This window comes from Homo sapiens, chromosome 6 (genome assembly GCF_000001405.40).
Source record: "Homo sapiens chromosome 6, GRCh38.p14 Primary Assembly".
NCBI lineage: Eukaryota > Metazoa > Chordata > Mammalia > Primates > Hominidae > Homo > Homo sapiens.
This window is the reverse complement of record NC_000006.12, coordinates 34,355,187-34,380,895: the sequence shown is the minus strand read 5'-3', so window position 1 is coordinate 34,380,895 and position 25,709 is coordinate 34,355,187. Positions and strand designations below refer to the sequence as shown.

At 42.2% G+C, this 25,709-nt stretch overlaps 2 protein-coding genes across 2 annotated transcripts in view, besides 2 other annotated features; both read left to right on the top strand.

Annotated features, from left to right (window-relative positions):
• Positions 1-25,709, top strand: part of NUDT3 (nudix hydrolase 3) — a 112,991-nt gene that overhangs the window by 11,774 nt on the left and 75,508 nt on the right. The gene's annotated exons all lie outside the window — the stretch shown is intronic.
• The window catches only part of RPS10-NUDT3 (RPS10-NUDT3 readthrough), a 138,876-nt gene that overhangs the window by 45,174 nt on the left and 67,993 nt on the right, over positions 1-25,709 (top strand). The window lies entirely within an intron of this gene.
• Positions 17,928-17,977: a silencer, noted in NCBI's record as "silent region_17072". NCBI's record gives its function as "represses an Ori minimal core promoter by ATAC-STARR-seq in GM12878 lymphoblastoid cells {active_cell/tissue: GM12878}" and the evidence as "EXISTENCE:reporter gene assay evidence [ECO:0000049][PMID:35858748]".
• Positions 18,750-19,044: a silencer, noted in NCBI's record as "tiled region #13549; HepG2 Repressive non-DNase unmatched - State 19:H4K20". NCBI's record gives its function as "represses a minimal TATA promoter and a strong SV40 promoter by Sharpr-MPRA in HepG2 cells {active_cell/tissue: HepG2}" and the evidence as "EXISTENCE:reporter gene assay evidence [ECO:0000049][PMID:27701403]".

Below are 25,709 nucleotides of genomic sequence, written 5' to 3'. Positions count from 1 at the left end.
CTTGGTCGAATATGGGTAGTTGAAGAATATCCTAGGTGAAGGACACTGGGCCGTCTAAGTCAGAGGCCCAGATATGCAGCCTTTGGAAGCCTGTTTGTATTAACGTATTGTGGATAAAGAAAGCTGTTATTCCCTGCCTGTCCCCCTAATCTGTGCTGGAAGAAAGAGAGAAAGTAAGAGGCCCAGTCCAGTGTCTATGAGAGAGTGATGACCCTTTTTCTCATCCCCAAGGACATGAAAACAAAGATCTCAACAGAGAATTCTATCCATTTTGAACCCTGTAACTAACAGTGAAATCAACCAGGAAAATCCTTCATGATTTCATCTACTTTTCATTTCATGGTATGGATGCTATATACCACTAAAAATTAGTACTTTAGCTGGCTGCAGTGACTCTTGCCTATAATCTCACCTATTTGGGAGGCTGAGGCAGGAGGATTACTTGAGTCTAGGAGTTTGAGGCTGCAGTGAGCCATGGTCGTGCCACTGTACTCCAACCTGGGTGACAGAGCAAGATCCTTTCTCTTAAAAAAAAAATAAATAGGGCTGGGCGCTGTGGCTCGCGCCTGTAATCCCAGCACTTTGGGAGGCCGAGGAGGGTGGATCACCTGAGGTCAAAAGTTCAAGACCAGCTTGGTCAACATGGTGAAACCCTGTCTCTACTAAATATACAAAAATTAGCCGGGCGTGGTGGCAGGCGCCTGTAATCCCAGCTACTCGGGAGGTGGAAGTTGCAGTGAGCCGAGATCGCGCTGTTGCACTCCAGTCTGGGCAACAAGAGCGAAACTTTGTCTCAAAAAATAAATAAATAAATAAATAGATAAAAATTAGTACTTTACTGCATAAAAGAAAACTGATTTCTTTTAATATGTATTTACTATTTTTTTTTTTTAAGATGGAGTTCACTCTTGTCCATGCTGGAGTGTAATGGCTCGATCTCAGCTTGTTGCAACCTCCACCTCCCAGGTTCAAGGGATTTTCCTGCCTCCACCTCCCAAGTAGCTGGGATCACAGGCATGTGCCACCCCATCCGGCTAATTTTTAGTAGAGATGGGGTTTCACCATGTTGGCCAGGCTGATCTCGAACTCCTGACCTCAAGGGATCTGCCCACCTTGGCCTCCCAAAGTGCTGAGATTACAAGCATGAACCACCGCGCCTGGCCTAGATTTTAAAATACAATCTTTGGGCTGGTACAGTGTCTCAAGCCTGTAATCCCAGCACCCTGGGAGGACAAGGTGGGATGATCACTTGAGGCCAGGAATTCGAGACCAGCCTGGGTAACATAGCAAGACCCTGTCTGTACAAAAAAACTTCTGTGGATTACTTTTTTTTTTTGAGATGGAGTCTCTCTCTGTCGCCCAGGCTTGAGTGCAGTGGTGTGATATTGGCTCACTGCAACCTCTGCCTCCCAGGTTCAAGCGATTCTCCTGCTTCAGCCTCCCAAGTAGCTGGGATTACAGGCACCTGCTAACACGCCCAGCTAATTTTTGTATTTTTAGTGGAGATGGGGTTTCGCCATGTTGGCCAGGCTGGTTTCAAACTCCTGGCCTGAGGCGATCTGCCCACCTTGGCCTCCCAAAGTGCTGGGATTACAGGTGTGAGCCACTGTACCCCACCATGGATTACTTTTATAATAAGTCATAAAAAGTATAAAAAGTCCATACTTTTATACTATGTCACACATTTAGCAAATCTAAATTTTATTTTGAAACATTGAAAACTAAACAAATACTGATATAGGTGGACTTTTCTATTTTCCATGAGTCTATACAGATCATGGAGCTGTTGTGCTAATGAAAAGAAAACTAGAACTACGTTGCTGTGGGTGAAAGAAGAGGGGAGGTGAATTCTTCTTGGGTTTGATAAAGATGTATGACTGAGAAGGTCTTGGCATAAGACTTGATCATGGACTTGGAGGAGGGTGTGCTATGGCCAGACTGGGCAGAAGAGGCCAGGGATGGTAGAAGCAATAAGCATACACAATGGTGCCACTAGAGAAGAGTTTGGGTGGCTGTGGTGCAGGGATGCGGAGTGTATTGAATGATTGATTTTTCTGGCATAAAATTAGAAGAGTACCATTCTTTTTGGAGAATGCCCTTCTTGGAGAGAGGGAGGGACCCATCCTCCACCTAGCTCTCTTCTCTGGTGTGGCCATGTGGATGCGGGACTAAGGCTCCACCAGTTGGAGGCCTGAGGAGGCCAAAGGGATGGGTGGGGCAAGGCAGTGACTGTGTGCTGACCAGATGTTTGTGCTATAGACCCAGGCTGTGGCTTTTGCTGCCACCTCTGGAGTGCTCATAGTGTGGGCCTATCTTCTAAGATTGGTCCTATAGTCCTTGCCACTCCAATATTCTGAGCATTTGATATTTTTTCCAATAAATTCCTTTTTGGCTTCAGACAGCCAGGCTTTGTTGCTTGCAACCAAGAACTTTGCCTAATATATCACTTTGGTAGTTTTTAGGGTAGCCTCCTCAACTAATCCAGTGCACCAGAAGAAACGTATACATGTTGAGTCAGAAGTTTTTTTGTGTGTGGGAGAGCTTTTCATTTTATTTATGAAGCAAGCTTTAACATTTTTCCTTTTTTTCCCCCAAGTCAGGATCTTGCTCTGTCTCCCAGGCTGGAGTACAGTGATGTGATCATGGCTCCCTGCAGCCTCATCCTCCTGGGCGCAAGCACTTCTCCCACCTCAGCTTCCCAAGTAGCTGAGACTACAGGAATGTGCCACCTCATCTGGCTATTTTTTTTTTTTTTTGGGTAGGAGCGACAAGATCTCGCTAGGCTAGTCTCAAACTCCTGGGATCAAGCAGTCTTCCTGCCTAGATCTCCCAAAGTGCTGGGATTATAGGTGTGAGCCGCTGCACCTGGCCATTTTTCCGCTTTTTGTAGTAAAAATTTCTTCATGCTAAAGTTTGTAAAATTGATTTTAAATGGCAAAAAAGTAATTCAGTCAAATTAGAGCAAATCAGAGCACTGTAACTAACAGTAGCCTGAACGCCAGTGTTTTTATAAAATGCTTATCAGCATAGTCATGCTCTCTCCACACTTTTTTTTTTTTTTTTGAGACGGAGTCTCCCTCTGTCACCCAGGCTGGAGTGCAGTGGTGTGATCTTGGCTCACTGCCACCTCTGCCTCCCAGGGTCAAGCGATTCTCATGCCTCAGCCTCCCAAGTAGCTGGGGTTACAGGTGTGTGCCACCACACCTGGCCAATTTTTGTATTTTCAGTAGCAACGGGTTTCACCATGTTTGCCAGGCTGATCTCAAACTCCTGGCCTCAAATGATCTGTCCGTCTCAGCTTCCCAAAGTGCTGGGATTATAGGCATGAGCCACTGTGCCCTGCCCTCTCCACACTTTTTAAATTCTCTTTTTAGAATTATCCTAAATAATATTTGAGAATGTGTGAATTTTTAATGTTTTAAATGTTGGGGGTATCAAGGACCAGATTTTTTAAAATGAATTTTTAAAATCCAAGTTTATGAAAACAGTACGATGCTTCTTAAAATACATATATTGTAGTCTCCAAGTTCTGTCTTGGTTAACAAGAATTTATTGAGGCTTCACTTTTTGCAAAACACTATTCTCGGTGCAGTGATGGTTTTAAAACTGTGGACATGTCCACTGCTGTCCAGGAAGAATGCTTTTCTAAATTGATGAATTAATTAAATTACCGTTAGGCATTTCAGTACAGTTGAACAAGTGGCTGCATTATGTGCCTTGGGTGGGATCAGACAAAAATTTAAAAAGTGGGACATAAAGTACATGGAGCAGTTAGAAAAAAATGTAGGAAAGGCTGTGCTTCCGGAGTGCTTCATTTTGGATGCAAAATACAGAAGTAGTCAGTCTTGGGCTCTAAGAAGTTAATAGGATTTACGTAGAAAGGAGGGGAAAGAGTATGTTAGGAGAAGGAGACCCAGCATGATTGAGGGTGGGAATGAGTTTGTTGCATGCCAGAGACTCTGAGCATATGAACCTGGGTCTGGGATAGTGGTGTGGCAGGGTATTGATGGGGAGTGATAAGGGGTGTCAGCTGGCTGGGAGCTAAGGGTATAGAGCCTTGATTTGAGATAATGAGGAGTTTGGGTTTGATCCTACAGTGGGGAACCACAGTTGTCCTTCAAAGGGTTGTGGAAAGGTATGTGTGAGAGTAGAATGCAGGGTGAACTCAGCGGGGGCTACCAGAGGGAATGATTGGGAGAATGATGTTCTATTCTGGAAGTGAGAGCCATGGTAGCAGCAGAATGGAATGAAGTATTAAGTGACACTGTAATCAAAGGGTGGACAGGTTTGGTAACAGATGATATGTTAAAGATAAAGGAGACCATGCATGGTGGCTCACGCCTGTAATCCCAGCACTTTGGGAGGCGGAAGCAGGAGAATCACTTGAGGCCAGGAGTTCAAGACCAACCTGAGTAACATAGGGAGACCCCATCTCTACAAAAATAAAAAATTAGCTGTGCATGGTGGTGCATGCCTGTAGTCCCAGTTACTCAGGAGGCTGAGGTGGGAGGATCACTTGAGCCTGGGAGATCGAGGCTGCACTAGATGCCATTGCACTTGAGCCTGGGAGGTCAAGTGGCATGATAGTGCCACTGCACTCCAGCCTCGGTGACAGAGTGAGACCCTGTCTCAAGAAAAGAAAAAAAAAAGATGAAGGAGCTCATGGTTGAAGATGACTTTTAAATTTTGATCCTGGGTGACAGGAGAAATGGAAATTTAGAAGAGAGGTTGGTTTCGGAGAGAAGATGGAACTTTGGTTTTGTCATGTCGAATTTGAAGTGATGAACTGAATTCAACTGATGATAGTTGGAGATGTGGGACTAGAAGGGGAGTAAGAAGTTAGGACTATAGATACAGTGTGGAGTGTCAGGGACCTTGGAGAGGGAGAATAGAAAGTTAGCACAAGAGAAAGTACACAGAAAGCAAAACTGAGCGTAGGGCCTGAGCTTGGGGCATCATGGCACTCGAAGCACTGTCATAAAAGCGGAGGTGGAAGAACATTTCACAAAGATGTGATAGGTGATAGATCACACCTAGAGCCATCAATTATAATGAAGATGAGATGTAGCAACAGATTTAACGATGACTTTATAAAACTGTTAGAAGAATGGTAAGATGGACGTGTGGATTTGGGTTGATTAAATCAGGCTTTAGGAAAGAAGCACATTTTCTTCGGAGATTGGAAGGTGGATAAATGAAAAAACCCAAGAGTCTGAGTTATATTGACATGAATTCGAGAAAACTCCTTCCAGATGGATCTATTCTGAGAAGGAGAGTTATTCACCATATTTACTCTTCCAATCAATATACTGATCTGGTGATTTGAGGGGCAAGAAAAAGTCTGGCAGAGTTACTGTGGTGTGGTCAGGATTGAAGTGATAGTTTTATAAGGGGATACATTTGGAGGCTGAATGGTATTTATCCTCACAAACAATTGTGGGCCTTCTGTGTATAAAGCAGCATGTAGACTCCACGGAGGATAAACTATGAGCAGGAGAGACTGTTTTAGAACTCTGGTAACTTTTTTATTTTTTATTTTTTAATTTTTTTTTGATACAGAGTCTTACTCTGTCGCCCAGGCTGGAGTGCAATGGCACGATCTCAGCTCACTGCAACCTCTGCCTCCCCGTTTCAAGCAATTCCCCTGCCTCAGCCTCCCGAGTAGCTCGGATTACAGGCGAGCACTGTCATGCCTGGCTAATTTTTGTATTTTTTAGTAGAGATGGGGTTTCACCGTGTTGGTCAGGCTGGTCTCGAACTCCTGACCTCGGGTGATCCGCCTACCTCGGCCAAAGTGCTGGGATTACAGGCATGAGCCACAGCGCCCGGCCGAACTCTGGTAACTTATTACCTAGTGGGCTCAAAAGGAGGTGGAATTTATATTGTTTAAGTTTCATATATTTCCTTATCCCTTTGCATATAGACGCTGGAGAGGGGAAAGAGAACGGTAGAGATGTCCCAAGATTGGGGACTGATTCAAGAGCATGTTATAAGATCAGAAGAATCAGAAAGTTGACTGAGAGTCAGTTTTTTTATTTGTAAAATGGGAATAAATAATACCTAATTCTTGAAGTTGTTATGAGACTTGAATGAGGAAAGTAAAGTGCCTCCCAGATAACATAGTTGGTGCTGTAACGAAGGCAGGAACCACAGAAGGAATCACACTAGCCAAGAAATGATGATGATACAGTGAAATGAGTGCTGTAAAAGAACCCTCTCCGAATGCTTTAGAAATGGAGGAGTAGACAAATGCTGGATTGAGAAGTCAGACACAGTGCGAAAGGACTAGATCTGAGTGTTGAAGGATGAGTATAAATTTGCTGCTACTCCAATACAGATTGTGCAGGCATTAAAAAAAAAATCAGATGCTGATCATAACAGCGTCACAAAGACAGACTGATATGTGATCTAAAAAATACAAGAACTGGGAAAGAAAGGAAAGATTCACTGCAGTAAATGGTGCTCTGTGAATTTACTGTGAAAGAGCTTTTATGGAAAGAGAGGAAGACCTGAAGTTATAGAATCTTTACATTTGTGAACCTGGAAGTAAACATAGACATGATCTATCCAGCCACGTCAGTGAAATAAGGGAACTGGAACCAAAAGAGTGTTGAAATCTGTCTACTGTGATAATTCTGGTAAAATAATATGTACAAAGATAACACAGTTTTCTTCTGACAGATCCACAAAAGGAGTTAAACAAGTAGAATGCATTTTTTTTTTTTTTTTTTTTTTTTTTGAGAGGGAGCCTTGTTCTGTCGCCCAGGCTGGAGTACAGTGGCATGATCCGGGCTTGCTGCAACCTCTGCCTCCCAGGTTCAAGTGATTCTCCTGCCTCAGCCTCCCAAGTAGCTGGGACTACAGGTGCATGCCACCACACCTGGCTAATTTTTTGTATTTTTTAAGTAGAGACAGGGTTTCACCATGTTGGCCAGGCTGGTCTCAAACTCCTGACCTCAGATGATCCGCCCGCCTTGGCCTCCCAAAGTGCTGGGATTACAGGCATGAGCCACTGCGCCCAGCCGAATAAAAATATATTTCTAAAACAGACTCCCAGTACCAGTATTTAAAAGAACAAAAACAGGTGGAATGAAAGGCTGTAACACAATTATAGAAGTGTAATCTATACCAACTTCAGCAGCATCTATTGCTGTTGTCACTGTTAGCTGAAGCTGATCACGAATCCCAGCACCAGTGCGTGTGTGTTGTGGGAAGAAGCTGAATTTGTCAGAAACATGGATATTTTTGGCACATTTTGAATGCCATAAAATACTTTTTAAGGCAGTTTTAGTAGTCTTCCTTCCATTATAAAGATGTTCTACATTCACCATAGCAAATTTGGAAAATAGCCTCTTTTGAGCCCATTACGTTATAAGTTACCAGAGTTCTCTCCTGCTCATAGTTTATCCTCTGTGGTGCCTACGTGGTGCTCCATACACAATAGGCCTACAATTATTTATGAGGATAGATACCGTTCAGCCTCTAGTTTCCCCCCAAAACGTATGAAGGAAATTATTCTCTTTAATCATTCTGGCTTTAAATTTTATAACATTAAATTCACATATAATATGCAATTTATCCTAATTTGAATTCTGTATACACTTTTTTTTTTTTTTTGAGACGGAGTCTTTCTCAGTCGCCCAGGCTAGAGTGCAGTGGCGTGATCTCAGCTCACTGCAAACTCCGTCTCCTGGGTTCATGCTATTCTCCTGCCTCAGCCTCTCGAGAAGCTGGGACTACAGGCGCCTGCCACCATGCCCGGCTAATTTTTTGTATTCTTAGTAGAGATGGGGTTTCACCATGTTAGCCAGGATGGTCTCGATCTCCTGAGCTTGTGATTCGCCCGCCTCGGCTTCCCAAAGTGCTGGAATTACAGGTGTGAGCCACCGCGCCCGGCACACGCGCGTGCTCTCGCTCTCTCTCTCTCTATGTATATATATTAAAGCCTGTCAGATTTAGTGGGGGCAGGGATGAGATGGGGGGTAGATGACAATGTTAAGCCAGAAAAGAAGATAGTATTATTGACCAGTAATTGATAAATTATTGGTTTATTTTTCTCCAATCTCACAAAGTATATATATATATTTTTTAAAGATGGAGTTTTGCTCTTGTTGCCCAGGCTGGAGTGCAATGGCATGATCTGGGCCCACCACAACCTCTGCCTCCTGGGTTCAAGCGATTCTCCTGCCTCAGCCTCCCTAGTAGCTGGGATTACAGGCATGTACCACCACACCTGGCTAATTTTGTATTTTTAATACAAATGGGATTTCTCCATGTTGGTTAGGCTAGTCTCGAACTCGTGACCTCAGATGATCTCCCCACCTTGGCCTCTCAAAGTGCTGGGATTACAGGTGTGAGCAACTGCACCTGACACAAAGTACACTTAAAAAAAAAGTGACACTTGGCCATCAGAGAAACGCAAATCAAAACCACAATGAGATACCATCTCACACCAGTTAGAATAGCAATCATTAAAAAGTCAGGAAACAACAGGTGCTGGAGAGGATGTGGAGAAATAGGAACACTTTTATGCTGTTGGTGGGACTGTAAACTAGTTGAACTATTGTGGAAGACAGTGTGGCAATTCCTCAAGGATCTAGAACTAGAAATACCATTTGACCCAGCCATCCCATTACTGGGTATATACCCAAAGGATTATAAATCATGCTGCTATAAAGACACATGCACACATATGTTTATTGCAGCACTATTCACAATAGCAAAGACTTGGAACCAACCCAAATGTCTATCAGTGATAGACTGGATTAAGAAAATATGGCACATAGACACCATGGAATACTATGCAGCCATAAAAAATGATGAGTTCATGTCCTTTGTAGGGACACGGGTGAAGCTGGAAACCATCATTCTGAGCAAACGATCGCAAGGACAGAAAACCAAACACTGCGTGTTCTCACTTATAGGTGGGAATTGAACAATAAGAACACTTGGACACAGGGTGGGGAACATCACACACCGGGGCCTGTTGTAGTGTGGGGTTAGGGGAGGGATAGCATTAGGAGATATACCTAATGTAAATGAGGAGTTAATGGGTGCAGCACACCAACATGGCACATGTATACGTATGTAACAAACCTGCACGTTGTGTACATGTACTCTAGAACTTAAAGTATAATATAAAAAATAACAATAATAAAAAAATGACACTTAGCCAACCATCTTAAAGAATTATAATTCTCATCTTGCCAGTCTATTTCCCCAGTGCTCATTAATAAGAATTAGTGTGATTCTCTATTCTTCTAATCAGTGAACCACATAAACTGACTGTTACCTCTAATGGTTTCAGAAAGGATCTCGTAAGGAATCAATAACAATTTAGTAGTGATTGTTCTTTCCTGTTTCCCACGTTGAATCTGCATCTGCTGAGTATGAGACTTGCTATCTTCAAAGCATTTTTTCTTTTTTTTTTTGAGACAGAGTCTTGCTGTGTTGCCAGGCTGGAGTGCAGTGGTGCAATCTCAGCTCACTGCAACTTCCACGTCCTGGGTTCAAGCAATTCTCCTGCCTCAGCCTCCCGAGTAGCTTGGACTACCGGCACGCCACCACGCCCAGCTAATTTTTTTATTTTCAGTGGAGACGAATTCCACCATGTTGGCCAGAATGGTCTCGATCTCTTGACCTCTTGATCTGCCTGCCTCGGCCTCCCAAAGTGCTGGGATTACAGGCATGAGCTACCGCACCTGGCCCAAAGCATTTTCAGTAGCCATAAAGTTGCTTTTTAAAGACACAGCAAAGCGGTATTAGACTTTTTTTTTTCTTTTTTTGAGACGGAGTCTTGCTCTGTTGCCCAGGCTGGAGTGCAGTGGTACGATCTCGGTTCACTGCAACCTCTGCCTCCCGGGTTCAAGCGATTCTCCTGCCTTAGCCTCCCGAGTAGCTGGGATTACAGGTACGTGCCACCATGCCCTGCTAATTTTTGAATTTTTAGTAGAGACTAAAAATTTAGTTTCACCATGTTGGTTAGGCTGGTCTTGAACTCCTGACCTCAGGTGATCCACCTGCCTCGGCCTCTCAAAGTGCTGGGATTACAGGTGTGAGCCACGGCGCCTGGCCAGTATTAGACATTTTTAATGCATTTTTTATTTGTTGGTGATTGTCATCAACAGTACAACAACTATAACAAAAATCGTGTTTATGTTTTAGCCAAAGAAAATATGTGAGAATTCACCCAGAGGTGCTGGACTTCACTGGTTTGATGGTCAGCTTAGTCTAAAATTAACACCATTGTTCAGCTTGTCAAGTTCTGTCCGAGGAAGGAAGTTGGACATTGGTTTCCCATATTTGGCTCAACCAGTGTGTGACAGACACTGTTGTTTGGCTGACCCCACATCCTGAACCCTCTTTTCGCTAAATACTCATTTCCCAGTTTTCTGTGCAATTAGGAGTGGCTGTCTGACCCAGAAGCAGAAGTTTGCTGAAGAACAGATGTGACTGGCACTATTACTTCTGTCATCTGCCTTGAACGCTGAAGTTGTATCTGGAGTTGTAGCCGCCACTTTGAGGCCATGAGGAGGAATGGGAGAGTGCAAAGATACAGAGTCTGGGCCTTGATGGCATCAAGTGGTCAGACCAACTCCAGTAGCTGTCTTCCTCAGATTTCTGTTAGTGAGAAAAGTAAGTTCCTATTTATTTTAGCCAGCATTATTCAGGTTTAGATTCATAGAGCATAGTGGAGATGACTTGTAGAATGGTGCCAAGAAGGCAGCAGAAACTATCCATTAGGGCAGGTGCAAATGGTCATAAATGTTCTATGGATAATCTGTTTGGATTTTGAGTAATAACTTGCCATATTATTTGAGGAGTCACCAATTCTTAAAAATAAATCAAGAAAAATGTAGTGTTTTCTAAATATTATGTTTCAGGGCTTTATTCAAATGTAACTTTAAAAAATTTGTTTTTAGGTAATAGACATTATAAACTGCCTCTGGGAAACCTCAGATTTGTCCCCAAGATTATGAATATTATGTACCTTTCACCAGTGGCATGTGTTAGTCATACTAGGAAGAGGTCAGGATTAGGGTCTCTGGGTCCTTGGAGTTTCTACCAGCCAGCTGCCTAATATTGCCAAGTTTCCTGAGAAGACCCTCCAGGCATCTGCTCTGTTTGTGGTTTATTCAGTTATAATAAGTTATAATATTCAGTAGAATTTTAAAAAATCTTTTCATTGTACTGAAGTGACATGGTAAATGACTTTAGATCAATATGTTGATTTTTCTTAGACCAAAGGCTTCCCTGTCTTTGATGTTGCCCTCTTAAGTCACACACTGTCACATCATGGTCTTTAATTTCCTTCCTAGTACCTATCGCTGTTTGACGTTATCTTACTTACCTGTTTACAAGACCCCTCTCCTTAACTGTGACTTCATCAGAGCAGCCGTCTCCTCTGTCTTGCTTACCATTGTAGCCCCATCGCTTAGACAAAAGTCTGACACAAGTCTTAATGTTTGGAATTTTTGCCTTTGAACTTTAAGAAAACTACTGGTTTATTTCATATTTTTAGATTAATTTTGTTTCTGAATGATGAAAGAAGAGAGATTTCAGGATGCTTTTTTCAAGTATCCTTTTGTAAATAATGTTGTAGCTATGAGTAACTTAACCCCCAGTAAATAAAAAGTCAAGATGGAGATAGTCTTCATTATATATTTTTCTCTTGTGTAGTCATTTTGATGAGTTGAATTTAACTTACAGATCTGGTAGAAATTATTTTGAAAGAAATTTGCAGAATTGTATTTATGTTCCTTGTTAACATACATTTCTATACAAGTTTTTCTTCTATATCTTGTGTTCAACCAGTGGTCTATTACAGGTACCCAATAAACAGTATAGAACTAATTCAAAATCAGCTAGGCTGCTAAGGGAGTTGAACTGTGAGGAAGCTTCTCAAGATCCACTCCAGAAAACAGACAATGAATTACTTATTAAACAGAGCTACTGTTGGGCCGGGCGCGGTGGCTCACTCCTGTAATCCCAGCACTTTGGGAGGCCGAGGCAGGCGGATCATGAGGTCTGGAGATCAAGACCATCCTGGCTAACACGGTGAAACCCCGTCTCTGCTAAAAATACAAAAAATGAGCCAGGTGTGGTGGCGGGAGCCTGTAGTCTGAGCTACTCAGGAGGCTGAGGCAGGAGAATGGTGTGAACCCAGGAGGTGGAGTTTGCAGTGAACTGAGAGTGCGCCACTGCACTCCAGCCTGGGCGACAGAGTGAGACTCTGTCTCAAAAACAAAAAACACAAAACAAAAGCAGAGCTACTGTTTCGTACGTTGATGCTTAAACCTGGGAGGTTGTGAGCCACCAGTTGAAAATTGCTGTCTGAGATTCATCTATACTGTGTTTTTGTTTTTCCCCTGTACTATGTTTTGATTTGATTTAATGACAGCCAAATAAACCAGACTTTCTCTCCTCCATGCCCTGGAGCCCAGGGGATTGTATGCTGCTGCACTTCTTTGCTTTATGAGGTCTCCTGGCCTGTGCCTTTCCAGATCAGTTATTCCTCCAAGAGTTCAGGTCCCTTCTCAAGCTTGTAAAGAGATAGGCCTTCTCAGGCTCCAGCTACTTGGTAGGGAAGAAGGAGAGGAAAAAAGCAGCTTGAAGTAGTCCTAATATGAAAACATCCCAAGAAAGAAACACCTGAAAACAATATTCTTTATGGAAGATGCAGCTTTCTTTTTTCTGAGATGTAGTCTCGCTCTGTCGCCCAGGCTGGAGTGCAGTGGCACGATCTCAGCTCACTGTAACCTCTGCCTCCTGGGTTCAAGTGATTCTTCTGCCTCAGCCTCCCGAGTAGCTGGGACTACAGGCACATGCCACCACGCCGGGATAATTTTTGTATTTTTAGTAGAGACGAGGTTTCAGCATATTGGCCAGTCTGGTCTCGAACTCCTGACCTCGTGATCCGCCTGCCTCAGCCTCCCAAAGTGCTGGAATTACAGGCGTGAGCCACTGCGCCTGGCCAAGATACAGCTTTTAACCTCTCCATTCTTCTGGCAGTCCTGAGCTTTCCCCACTCCCCAAAATGGTAGCCAGTTTTGCCCATGGCACAGCTCTTCTTTCTCCATCTTTTCTTCCTTCTAGGGTATGAAGCAATGCTCTGAGCTTGCCTTAGAGCAGCAATGTCCAAATGCAAGGCTAGAAGCAAGTTTTTATTTTATGGTAAAATGAGAAAAAGAAAGCCAATGTATGTATAAGTGCATTGGAAAGTTGCCACTTGTCTTTTGTTCTGAAATTAGGTTTGTCCTAGTGTTTTTGGTACTAAAATGTTCTTTATGAACTGGATGGTCATGCTGGACGGTACTTATGTTTAATCTTTTATTTACTTACATGACAAAATATGGTAGTGGCAACTATTAGTACCTTTTATTTATTACATTTTTTTTTCTTTTTTTTTTTAATGAGATGGAGTCTCACTCTTGTCGTCCAGGCTGTAGTTCAATGGTGCGATCTCGGCTCGCTGCAACCTCCGCCTCCCAGGTTCAAGCAATTGTCTTGCTTCAGCCTCCCAAGTAGCTGGGATCGCAGGCACACGCCACCACACCCGGCTAATTTTTGTGTTAATTGTAGGGACGGGGTTTCACCATGTTGGCCAGGCTGGTCTCAAACTCCTGACCTCAGGTGATCCACTCACCTCAGCCTCCCAAAGTGCTGGTATTACAGGCGTGAGCCACTGCGCCCGGCCAATTAAAATGTTTTTAGGTCAGGCATTGTGGCTCACACCTGTAATCCCAGCATTTTGGGAGGCTGAGGCGGGTGGATTACTTGAGGAGTTCGAGACCAGCCTTGCCAACATAGCAAAATCCTGGCTCTACTAAAAATACAAAAATTAGCCAGGTATGTGCTCACCTGTAATCCCAGCTACTTGGGAGGCTGAGGCAGGAGAATCACCTGAACTCAGGAGGCAGAGGTTGCAGTGAGCTGAGATTGTGCCACTGGACTCCAGCCTAGGCGACAGAGTGAGACTGTCTCAAAAAAAATTTTTTTTTAATTGTGGTAAAATATATGTAATGTAAAATTTGCACAACTTTAGGTATTTAAAAGTGTACAGTTCAGTGGCATTAAGTACATTCACATTGTTGTGCAACTGTCACTTCTGTCCATCTCAAGAACGTTTTCATCTTCACTAACTGATACTCTGTACCTATTAAGCAGTAAGTCTCAGCCAGATATGGTGGCACACGTTGCAGTCCTAGCTGCTTGGGAGGCTGAAGGGCAAGGATTGCTTTAGCACAGGAGGTCGAGGCTGCAGTGAGCTATGATCATGCCACTGTACTCCAGCCCGGGCAACAGAGTGAGACCCTGTCTCTAAAAAACAAAACAGTAAGCTCCCATTCTGGCCTCCTCTCTGCCCCTGGCACTACCTTCTCTCCCTCCCTCCCTCCCTCCCTCCCTCCCTCCCTCCCTCCCTTCCCTCTCTCTCTTTCTCTCTCTCTCTCCTTCTCTCTCTCTTTCTCTCTCTTGCTGTTTCTCTCCTTTTCCTTTCTTTCTCTCTTTTCTTTTCTTTTTTCGACAAGGTCTTGCTCAGTCACCCACGCTAGAGTGCAGTGGCAAAATCATGACTCACTGCAGTCTCAACCTCCTCAGCTCAAGTGATTCTCCCACCCCAGCCCTCCGCAGTAGCTGGGATTATAGGCATGCATCACCATGCCCAGCTACTTTTTGTATTTTTTTTTTTTTGGTAGAGATGGGGTCTTCCTATGTTGCCCAGGCTGGTTTTGAACTCCTGGGCTCAAGTGATCTGCTGGCCTTGGTCTCCCAAAGTGCTAGGATTACAGGTGTGAGCCTGACCCATTCTACTTACTTTTTAAAAAATATTATTTATTTATTTATATATATTTTTTGAGACAGAGTCTCGCTCTGGCTCTCAGGCTAGAGTGCAGTGGCGCAATCTTGGCTCACTGCAACCTCTGCCTCCGGGGCTCAAGCAATTCTCCTGCTTCAGTCTCCTGAGTAGCTGGGATTACAGGCTTGCGCCACCACCCCTGGCTAATTTTTGTATTTTAGTAGAGACGAGCTTTCACCATGTTGGCCAGGCCAGTCTTGAACTCCTGACCTCATGTGATCCACCTGCCTTGGCCTCCCAAAGTGCTGGGAATACAGGCGTGAGCCCCGTACCCGGCCTGTATTTATTTTCAGAGATGAGTTCTTGCTGTGTGACCCAGACTCGTCTCGAACTCCTGGCCTCAAGGGATCCTCTTGCCTCAGCCTCTTGTATAGCTGGGAATACAGACATGAGCCACTATGCCCCATTCTGCTTTCTATCTCAATGAATATGACTACTCCAGGTATCTCATAAGTGGAATCATAATTTTTGTCTTTTTATGACTGGCTTATTTCACTTAGCATGATGTCTTCAAATTTTATTCATCTTGCAACATGTGTCAGAATCTCATTCCTTTTTAAGGCTAAATAATATCCCAGGACTTTATTTATTTATTTATTTTATTTATTTTTGAGACAGAGTCTTGCTCTGTTGCCAGGCTGGAGTGCAGTGGCGCGATCTTGGTTCACTGCAACCTCTGCCTCCCAGGTTCAAGTGATTCTCCTGCCTCAGTCTCCTGAGTAGCTAGGACTACAGGTCCTGCCACCATGCCTGGCTAATTTTTGTATTTTTAGTAGAGATGGGGTTTCATCATGTTGGCCAGGCTGGTCTCAGACTCCTGGCTTCAGGTGATCCACCCGCCTTGGCCTCCCAAAGTGCTGGGATTACAGGTGTGAGCCACCTTGCCTGGCCGATTTATTTTAAAAACTTGTCTGTGAAATTTTAAAAATCTGGAAATTACTTGTCAACATTGTGTCCTGGATGGACTAATATTTTACTGATTGGTTCTTTTATTTTATTTATTTATTTATTTATTTTTGAGACGAAGTCTCGCTCTGTCACCCAGGCTGAAGTGCAGTGGCATGATCTTAGCTCACTGCAAGCTCCACCTCCTGGGTTCACGCCATTCTCCTGCCTCAGCCTCCTGAGTAGCTCGGACTACAGGCACCCGCCACCGCGCCCGGCTAATTCTTTTTATTTTTAGTAGAGATGGGGTTTCACTGTGGTCTCGATCTCCTGACCTCGTGATCCGCCCGCCTCAGCCTCCCAAAGTGCTGGGATTACAGGTGTGAGCCACCGCACCCAGCTGATTGGTTCTTCTAATAATTATTTGTTGTACCTTATATACACTCTACTGGATGCTATTGGTGTGTTACATAATGGCCAGTTCTTAGGCCCTGCCTGAGTTTTTGATTTATGATGGGAGGTAAAGCTTCACTTATCAAGGTAAAGGTTGGGCAAAAGATACAGTATTTGTGAAGAATGGAGAGGATTTATGTATGACTTCCCGTTGTTTAGATTTGTTCCGTTGTTGTTGTTGTTGTTGTTTTAATATCCTAGGCCATGGCAGGCCATTGTTTAGTTTTAGAAACTGTCAGTAGCACTTGTATTTTTAAAATCAACTTATTAAAAAAAATTCTACAGAAGGCAAACAACAAGTTGAGCTGCTGTCGGATATATTGGAAATAAGGGAGTTTTATAATGCTAGAGAACAAAAGGGCTTGGCTTGTAGATGAGGACAAAACCTTAGTAAGTTTATTTATATTCAGTTATATTTACAATAATTTACCATAAGACAGCTTGTCAGCTGTTAAATGTTTCCTCCACCAATCATGTTTTCTGACTTTTTACAATCATGTTACATGTTTCTTTATTCTTAATGCCCAACAGAGGTAGATAAAAACAGCCCTTGTAATATAATAGTTTGACAGCAATAGAAAACACCAGCAGAAAAATTTGTTACTTAAAACAGATCATGGTCAAGTTTAGTCTTACTTGAGAGCTTGACACAGTCTGGTTAGTTAGCAACTAGCTTCCTTGTTAGCGTCTCTGGAATAGAGGAGAAACAGACGTTGGGCGACAACCGTGGTGAAACCCTGTCTCTACTAAAAATACAAATATTAGCTGGGCGTGGTGGTGGGTGCCTGTAATCCCAGCTACTTGGGAGGCTAAGGCAGGAGAATCGCTTAAACCTGGGAGGAGGAGGTTGCAGTGAGCTGAGATCGCGCTACTGCACTCCAGCCTGGGTGACAGAGCGAGACTATCTCAAAAAAAAAAAGAAGAAAAAGAAAAAAAATTACTGCTGGGCACTGATTATGATTATTTCTATTGTGAGGATGATTGTGGGGGTAGGAGGAACTTTTCTGACATTTCAGAAGGCTGGCTCCTTAATGTTGAACTGGACATGGGAAAGGTAGAAATGTGCAATTTCTAAAAATACATGCTGATCAGAACTCTCACCTAGCCCATGCTTAATACATCTATTTTGGGCCCTGTTTCCCACTGCCAAGACTCTCTAATCTCTCACAACTGCTGAGTTTGCTTCTTACCCTTAAGTGACAAGCCTGCTTCCCTTATTCTCCTTCATGAGTTAGGATAAAAATTCAGTTATTTTTCAGTGCTGCGGTGGATGAGCAGTTAAGTCTGCCCTTTATTTACCTTTGGTTATTTGCCGTTTCTGCTAATCTCTTTTGCATAGTTGCCTGCCTTGAGTGAAAGTGACTAAATGCCAGTACTTGTTAACTTGCAAAGGAACCCAGGTAATCTTTTATCCTTCATGAGTTGAGATATGGATCTGGAGGACCCCCAAGCTCTGCTGCCCTAGAACCCAATAAACTTTGGCGTAGCTGTTAGCATATTATGCAACCTCTCAGTTCATAAACCAGCTATGAATGTCTGATAGCTTTTGGTTACCCAGCAAAGTAGAGGGGAAAACCACGTCCTGGCAGGTTTGAGTGTTGTGCTCAATCGTTAACTGTATATTCTGAGCACATTTTACTAGTCTAAGCTGTTAGAATCCATGTGCCATACAGAACTGAAGCTACCAAAAGCTCTTTATTCGGATGCAAATTCTCAGGACTCTCATGAGGGTTAGCTCATGGTAGCTAGTGCTGCAGCAGTCAAACGGAGACAGGTGGTGTATGGAAATAATGGCTTTAGAGTCACATCTGAAGTTCAGGTCTGAATTATTCTCTTTAAACCAGTTTCCTCAAGTGTAAAACAGAAATACATCCACTAATACCATCTGATTCCTAGGGTTATTGTGAGAATTTAATTAGGTTATATTTACATGAATAGAACTTGGGGCCAGGCGCAGAGACTCACGCCTGTAATCCCAGCACTTTGGGAAGTTGAGGTGGGGGGATCACTTGAAGTCAGGAGTTTGAGACCAGCCTGGCCAATATTGTGAAACCTCGTCTCTACTAAAAATGCAAAAATTAGCTGGGCATGGTGGCAGGCCCCAGCTACTCAGGAGGCTGAGGCAGGAGAATCACTTGTTACTAATAATTTTTTGAGTTTATATTGAACCTTTAGTGATCTGTTGAGGTAATCTAGCATATAATTTAAAAATATTTTTAATCCATGAGCTAGCCCACTAGCTCATACCTGTAATCCCAGCACATTGGGAGGCCAAGGCAGGAGGATCTCTTAAGGCCAGAAGTTTGCCACCAGCCTGGGCAATGTAGCAAGACCCCATCTCTACAAAAAATAAAATTAGCCAGGTGTGGTGGCATGCTCCTGTAGTCCCAGCTACTCCGGAGGCTGAGGTGGCAGTGAGCTATGATCATGCCACTGCACTCTAGCCTGAGGTACAGAGCAGGACCTTTGTCTTTCCTTCTCTCTTTATGTGTGTGTATGTGTATATATAATGAATGTATGTTTAGTACTTTTAAAAATAGACTTTACTTTTTAGAGCAGTTTTTGGTTCATAGCAAAATTGAGTGTAAAGTACAGAGTTCCCATAGGTCCCCTGCCTCCACAGGCAATCTCCCTCACTATCAGCATCCTGAACACAGTGGTATATTTGTTACAATCAGTGAGCCTACTATGACACATGATTATCACCCAAAGCCCATACTTTACATTAGAGTTCTCTCTTGCTGGTGTACTTCCTATGGATTGGACAAATGTATGCACCAGACAGAGTAGTTTTACTGCCCTAAAAATTCTCTGTTCTTTCTCTACCTATTCATCCCTCCCTCTCTGCTCACCCCTAACAACCACTGATCTACTGTCTTCATAGTTTTGCCTTTTCCAGAATGTTATCTAGTTGGAATCTTACAGTATGTGGCCTTTTCATGTTGGCTTCTTTGATTTAGTAATATGCATTAAAGTTTCCTCTATGTCTTTTCATAGCTTGATTGAGTACTGAATAATATTCCTTTATGTGGTTGTACCACACCTTATTTATCCATTCACCTACTGAAGGACGTCATGGTTGCTTCCAAGATTTTGGCAATTATGAATAAAGCTGCTATAAACATACATGTGCAGGTTTTTGTGTCACTTAAGTTTCTGACTTTTTGGGGTAAATACCAAGAAGTATGATTGTGTTATCATAGGGTAAGAGTATATGTAGTTTTGTAAGAAACTGCCAAACTGTTTTCCAAAGTTGCTGTACCATTTTGTATTCACCCCAGTGAGCAAATGAGTTTCTGTTGCTCCACATCCCCACCAGCATTTGGTGGTGTTCAGTGTTCTGGATTTTGGCTATTCTAATAGGTGTTAAGTAGTGTCTTCTTGTTGTTTCATTCGCATTTCCCTGTTGACATATGATGTGAAACATCTTTTTATATTCATTTACCATCTGCATATGTTCTTTTAAAAATTATTTTTTAGAGACAGGGTCTCACTCTGTCACCCAGGCTAGAGTGCCAGTGGTGTGATCATAGCTCACCGTAACTGAACTCCTGGGCTCAAGTGATCCTCCCACCCCAGCTTCCCAAGTAGCTGGGACTGCAAGTGCACACCACCATGCTGGCTAATTTTTAAAATTTTTTATAGAAATGGGGTCTTGCTATGTTGCCCAGAGTGATGTCAAACTCCTGACCTCACGCAGTCCTCCTGCCTCAGCCTTTCAAAGTGCTAGGATTATAAGTATGAGCTACTGCTCCTGGCCCCATATGTATATATTTCTTCATGAGGTGTCTGTTCACATCTTTTGCTCATTTTTTAATTGGGTTTTTTTATTGTTGAATTTTAAATGTCCTGTGTATATTTTGGATGAATCCTTTATCAGATAAGTCTTGTGAAAATATTTTTTTTCCATCTTGTGGCTTGTGTCTTCTCATTCACTTGGTATGTAGTACATTTTAACTTATTTTCCAGGGGAAAAAAAAACTAGTTATTTGAGCTTTTTCTGCATGTGTGTCTGTGGCGGAGGGCGAGAGAATAAGAGTAACTTTTTCCAGTCTTACTAAATGGTCATTCTGCTTTCCTTCAAAAGTTAAGTAGTTATTATAGACAATCTTTTTTGTTTGTTTGTTTTTGAGATGGTGTCTTGCTCTGTCGCCTAGTGGCACAATCTTGATTATCTCGGCTCACGGCAACCTCCACCTCCTGGGTTCAAGTGATTCTCCTGCCTCAGCCTCCTGAGTAGCTGGGATTACAAGTGCCCACCACCATGCCTGGCTAATTTTTGTATTTTTAGTAGAGACAGGGTTTCACCATGTTGGCCAGGCTGGTCTCGAATTCCTGACCTCAGGTGATCCACCCACCTTGGCCTCCCAAAGTGCTGGGATTGCAGGTGTGAGCCACTGTGCCCGGCGTTTGTTTTGTTTTGTTTTGTTTTTGTTTTTAGCTTTTTTTTTTTTTTTTTTTTTGAGACAGGGTCTCACTCTGTTTCCCAGGCTGGAGTGCAGTGGCACAATCACCACTTACTGCAGCCTTGCAGCTTCAACCTCCCCAGGCTCAGGTGATCTTCCTTCCTCAGCCTCCTGAGTGTGTGGGACTACAGGCATGTGTCACCATGCCTGGCTAAATTCTTGTATTTTTTGTAGAGATGGGGTTTTTCTATTTTGTCAGGCTGGTCTCCAACTCCTGGACTCAAGCAATCTGCTCACTTCAGCCTCCCAGCGTATAGACATTCTTAAAACTAGTTTTAACATGTCACACCCACTAGAGTGGAAAATAACAAGTGTTAGTGAGGATGTGGAGAAATTGGATACCTCATACATTGCTGGTGGGAATGCAGAATGGCTCAGCTGCTGTGGAAGTTTAGTGGGTCCTCAGAAACTTAAATGTAGAATTATGTTTGATCCAGCAGTTTCATTTTTAGGTATGTACTTAAAGGGATTGAAAAGCTTGTACTCAAACATTTGTAGAGGAATGTTCAGCACTATTTACAATAGCTAAAAGGTAGAAACAACCAAATGTTAACCAGTAGATGAATGGATAAACACATTGTGGTATATGGTGTATACATAAATTGGAATGTTATTCAGCTATAAGGAATGAGGTGGTGATACATGCTACAATATGGATGAACTTTTCAAATATGCTAAGTGAAAGAAGACAGACGCTAAAGGTCACATATTTATTGTATGCTTCCATTTATATGAAGTATGCAGAATAAGCAAATCCATAGATACAAAAAACAAATTGATGGTTGCCAGGAAGTGGGAGGATGGGGACAGGGAATAACTGCTAAATAGGTATGAGTTTTTTTGTTTGTTTGTTTTTGTTTTTTTAGGCAGTCTTGCTCTTGTCCCCCAGGCTGGAGTGCAGTAGCACGATCTCGGCTCACTGCATCCTCCACCTCCCAGGTTCAAGCAATTATCCTGCCTCAGCCTCCCAAGTAGCTGGGACTACAGGCGCCCGCCACCACACCCGGCTAATTTTTTGTAGTTTTAGTAGAAACTGGGTTTCACCGTGTTAGCCAGGATGGTTTCGATCTCCTGACCTTGTGATCTGCCCACCTCGGCCTCCCAAAGTGCTGGGATTACAGGCATGAGCCACCGCACCTGGCCGAATTCTCAATCTTAATGTGGTCGTTACTTAGGTTTTTCTGTGATTTATTGTGATAACTCCTTATCTTCCTAAATTGAGTAAATGTTATTTCCAGTAGAATAAAACAGTCTGATGGTTAAATTTAATTCATTTCAGAACACAAAAATTTGTGACATAGTACTTGAAATTACATAAAAATATTTTCCTTGCAATAACTATCTTTCTATCTTAATTTTCTCCTATATAGTTACTGTATTATTCCTGGTCCACCATATGATTGGCTCTTTTTTTTGTTCTCATGTTTGTAAGAACGATAAACTTGAATTCATACATCCGTGAAGAGCTGTTTGTGCCCTGTCTACTCTCTGGTTATTGCTCCTCTGCCCAGTCCTAGCTCTGGCCCCCCTGTGAGGCGTGGGTTTCATATTTCATGGCTCTAGCTGGGCATCTGGCCAGGCCATCATGGTTTACAATCTGTTGGTATAAAGTAAAAATTTCTTTTTTACTTTAAAAAATAATTTCCACATAATCACTTGATTGTGCTTATGTGTGGAATTAGTATTTTAATACTAACCTGTGAAAATTTTCTGTGACTCCTTTGAAATAATAAGCCATAGGATGGAGTTAGGAACCCATTATAACAGTAACAAAAAAGAATAAACTTAAGACATAGATAAGGTCTGTGCAGAGAAAACTTTTTAAATATTATTGAAAAAACTTGAAAAAGTATCTTGCTCTTAGGTGGGAAGTTTCAACATCCTGTCGATTATTGTAAATTAATCTATAAATTCAACTTGATTCCTGTAGAAATTATAAGGGGTGTGTGTGTGTGTGTGTGTGTGTGTGTGTGTGTAAACTACTCATGCAGTTTCTGAGTTCAAATGGGTAAGAAACCTTGGAGGAAAAGCCAGTAAAACTCTGAAAAAGAAGAGTGAAGGGCAAGTATGGTGATGTTAGCCCCATGAAACCATATTGCAGACTGTGATACTTAAAATAGAATACTACTAAGCTGGATCATGAATTGGCAAATGAATCAATAGAACCGAATAGGTAGTCCAGAAGTAGACTTCAATGCATATAGGAACAACTGGCAATACCTGGAAAAAAGTATAGTTGGATTCTTTCCTCATATTTATAATCAGAATAATTTTTACATAGATGGGAAGTACAAACATTAAAAACTACGGTCATAAATTACTAGAAGAAAACCTGGGATAATTTCATTGTAATCTTGGACTGAGGCAGGACCTTCTAATTATGCTAATTCAAGTTATAGAAGAAAAGATTTGAAGGACCTACATGAATGAAAAGCTATACCTTGCTTATGGATTAGAAGACATACAGTTTTTTCTGAAATCTATTTGGTTTTATAATACTAATCAAAATCTCAGCAGGTTTCTTTTAAAAAATAATAAATTCATTCTAAAATATACGAAAGTATAAATGGCTAAGAATAACCAATGCATTAAATTTTTTTTTTTTTTTGCAGGGTGCAGGGGATATAGGGTCTTGCCCTGTCACCCAGGATGCAGTATAGTGGGATGATCACGGCTCATTGCAGCCTCAGCCTCCCAGGCTCAGGCGCTCCTCCCACCTCAGCCTCCCTAGTATTGCTGAGACTACAGGTGCTCACTACCATGCCCCGCTAATTTTTTAGTTTTTAGAAAGATAAGGTTTTGCCCTGTTGTCCAGGCTGGTCTGGAACTCCTGGGCTCAAGCGGTCCACCTGGCCTCCCAAAGTGCTAGGATTACAGGCATGAGGCACCATGCCTGGCCTAAAAAAAAACCTTTTATTATGGAAAACTTAAAACCTCTCCCAAAGTGGACTGAATAGTATAGTGAACCCCCATGTACTCCTCAGTCAGCTTCAACTGTTATCAGCTCGTGGCCAATTTTGTAGGATGTATATTCGTAATCACTCCTCCCCCTCCACTATTATTTTGGGTCAAATCTCAAACACTGTATGATTTTATCTGTAATTTTTCAGTAAGTACTTCTAAAACAGAATACTGTCTTTAAAAAATAACCACAATTTGGCCGGGCGTGGTGGTTCACGCCTGTAATCCCAGCACTTTGGGAGGCCGAGGCAGGCGGATCACGAGGTCAGGAGATCGAGACCATCCTGGCTAACACGGTGAAACCCTGTTTCTACTAAAAATACAAAAAATTAGCCGGGCATGGTGGCGGGCGCCTGTAGTCCCAGCTACTCAGGAGGCTGAGGCAGGAGAATGGCATGGACCTGTAAGGCGGAGCTTGCAGTGAGCCAAGATTGCGCCACTGCACTCCAGCCTGGGCAACAGAGCGAGACTCCGTCAAAAGAAAACAAAAAAAACCCCCACAATTCCATAATTATACCTAAAAATAATTATATAGAAAACACAAAATAAATGATTGATTTTTTTTTCCCCCTCAGTTTGTCATTATTCCCCAAATTAGTGAGTTGGTTCATTGGCATCCTTCAGTGGTTACCAGTTCTGTTTTTATTTCTTAAAAATTATTAGTATAAACTCATGGATTTAAATATATTTGATATTCTAGTCTGTTGCTGTTATTCTTACTGGCCCATTTTTGACCAGTGTGAGCCTTTTCAAGTTAACTCCTGAATCCTTTTGATACAGTCCTAGTGGGTTTTGATAGCTTCTTCAGTATCTGATTTGACAAGATGTTTTAGACTTATATTGTATATTTCCTGTTGGTCATGGAATCAGCCGTATCAGGAATGAAAGTATTCTGTAGAAAGAATCAGTATTGGTTTTACAGATATCGAAAGGATAATAAGGGAATATTGTGAACAACTATAAGGCAATCAAATCAGTATTTTCAATGAAATGGGCAAATTTCTTTTTTAAATGTAATTTTTAATTTTTGTGGGTACGTAAGATATTTTGATATAGGCATACTATGAGTAACAATAACATCAGGGTAAATGGGGTACCTATTACCTCAGGCATTTATCCTTTCTTTCCAGGGCCTTCTTACATTGTTAAGTATCTGGTTCCTAAGATGTCCAGTATCACAGACACAGCCAGGAACTGTGTGTCCTGCATTTAAAATACACAGTCCCTTCGTGGCTCCTGTCATGCTTTCTCTCTTGAGATTGTCCCATTCTACTCCTAAACAGGGTCTTATGTTTACTGGTTTATTATAAAGGACATTGCAAAGGATACAGATGAAGAGATGCATAGGGGAGGTATGGGGGAAGGGGACCGAGCTTCCATGCCTTCCCTGGGCACACCACCCTCTAGGGACCTTCACATGTTCAGCTATCTGGAAGTTCCCCAAACCCTTTCCTCTTGAGTTTTTATCCAAATTTCTTGAAAGATACAAACTACTAAAGCTTCTTTAAGAATAAATAAATAAGCCTATGTCTATTAAAGAAATTGAATTTGTAGTTAAACCCTCCCCCCACCCCCCACCCCCCCAAAAAAACAGCTGTAGGGCCAGGTGGCTTTGCTGGTGAATTCTAAAGATATTTAAGAAGTAGTATCATTCTACACAATTTCTTTACTTTTTAGAAAATAAAAGAAGTATAATTTCTTTATTTTTTAGAAAAGAAGAGGGAATGTTTGCCTATTTTATAAAGCCAGTATTACCTTGATACCAAGATGGTACATTACAAGAAAAGAGAACATCAGACACTGTATCCTTCGTGAACAGAGACCCCAACCCTAAACTAGACATTAGCAACTTGCATCCAGCAATATACCAAAAGAATAATACATCGTGACTAACTGTGATTTATTCCAAAAATACAAGGCTGGTTTAACATTTAAAAACTGGTCAGTGTAATTTACCACACTGACAGACTAAAAAAAAGAACCACCATATCATCGTATCAATAGATTCAGAAAAAGCATTTGACAAAATCCAATGTCCATTTATAATAATAATTAAAAAACAATCTCAGCACTAGGAATGGAACTTC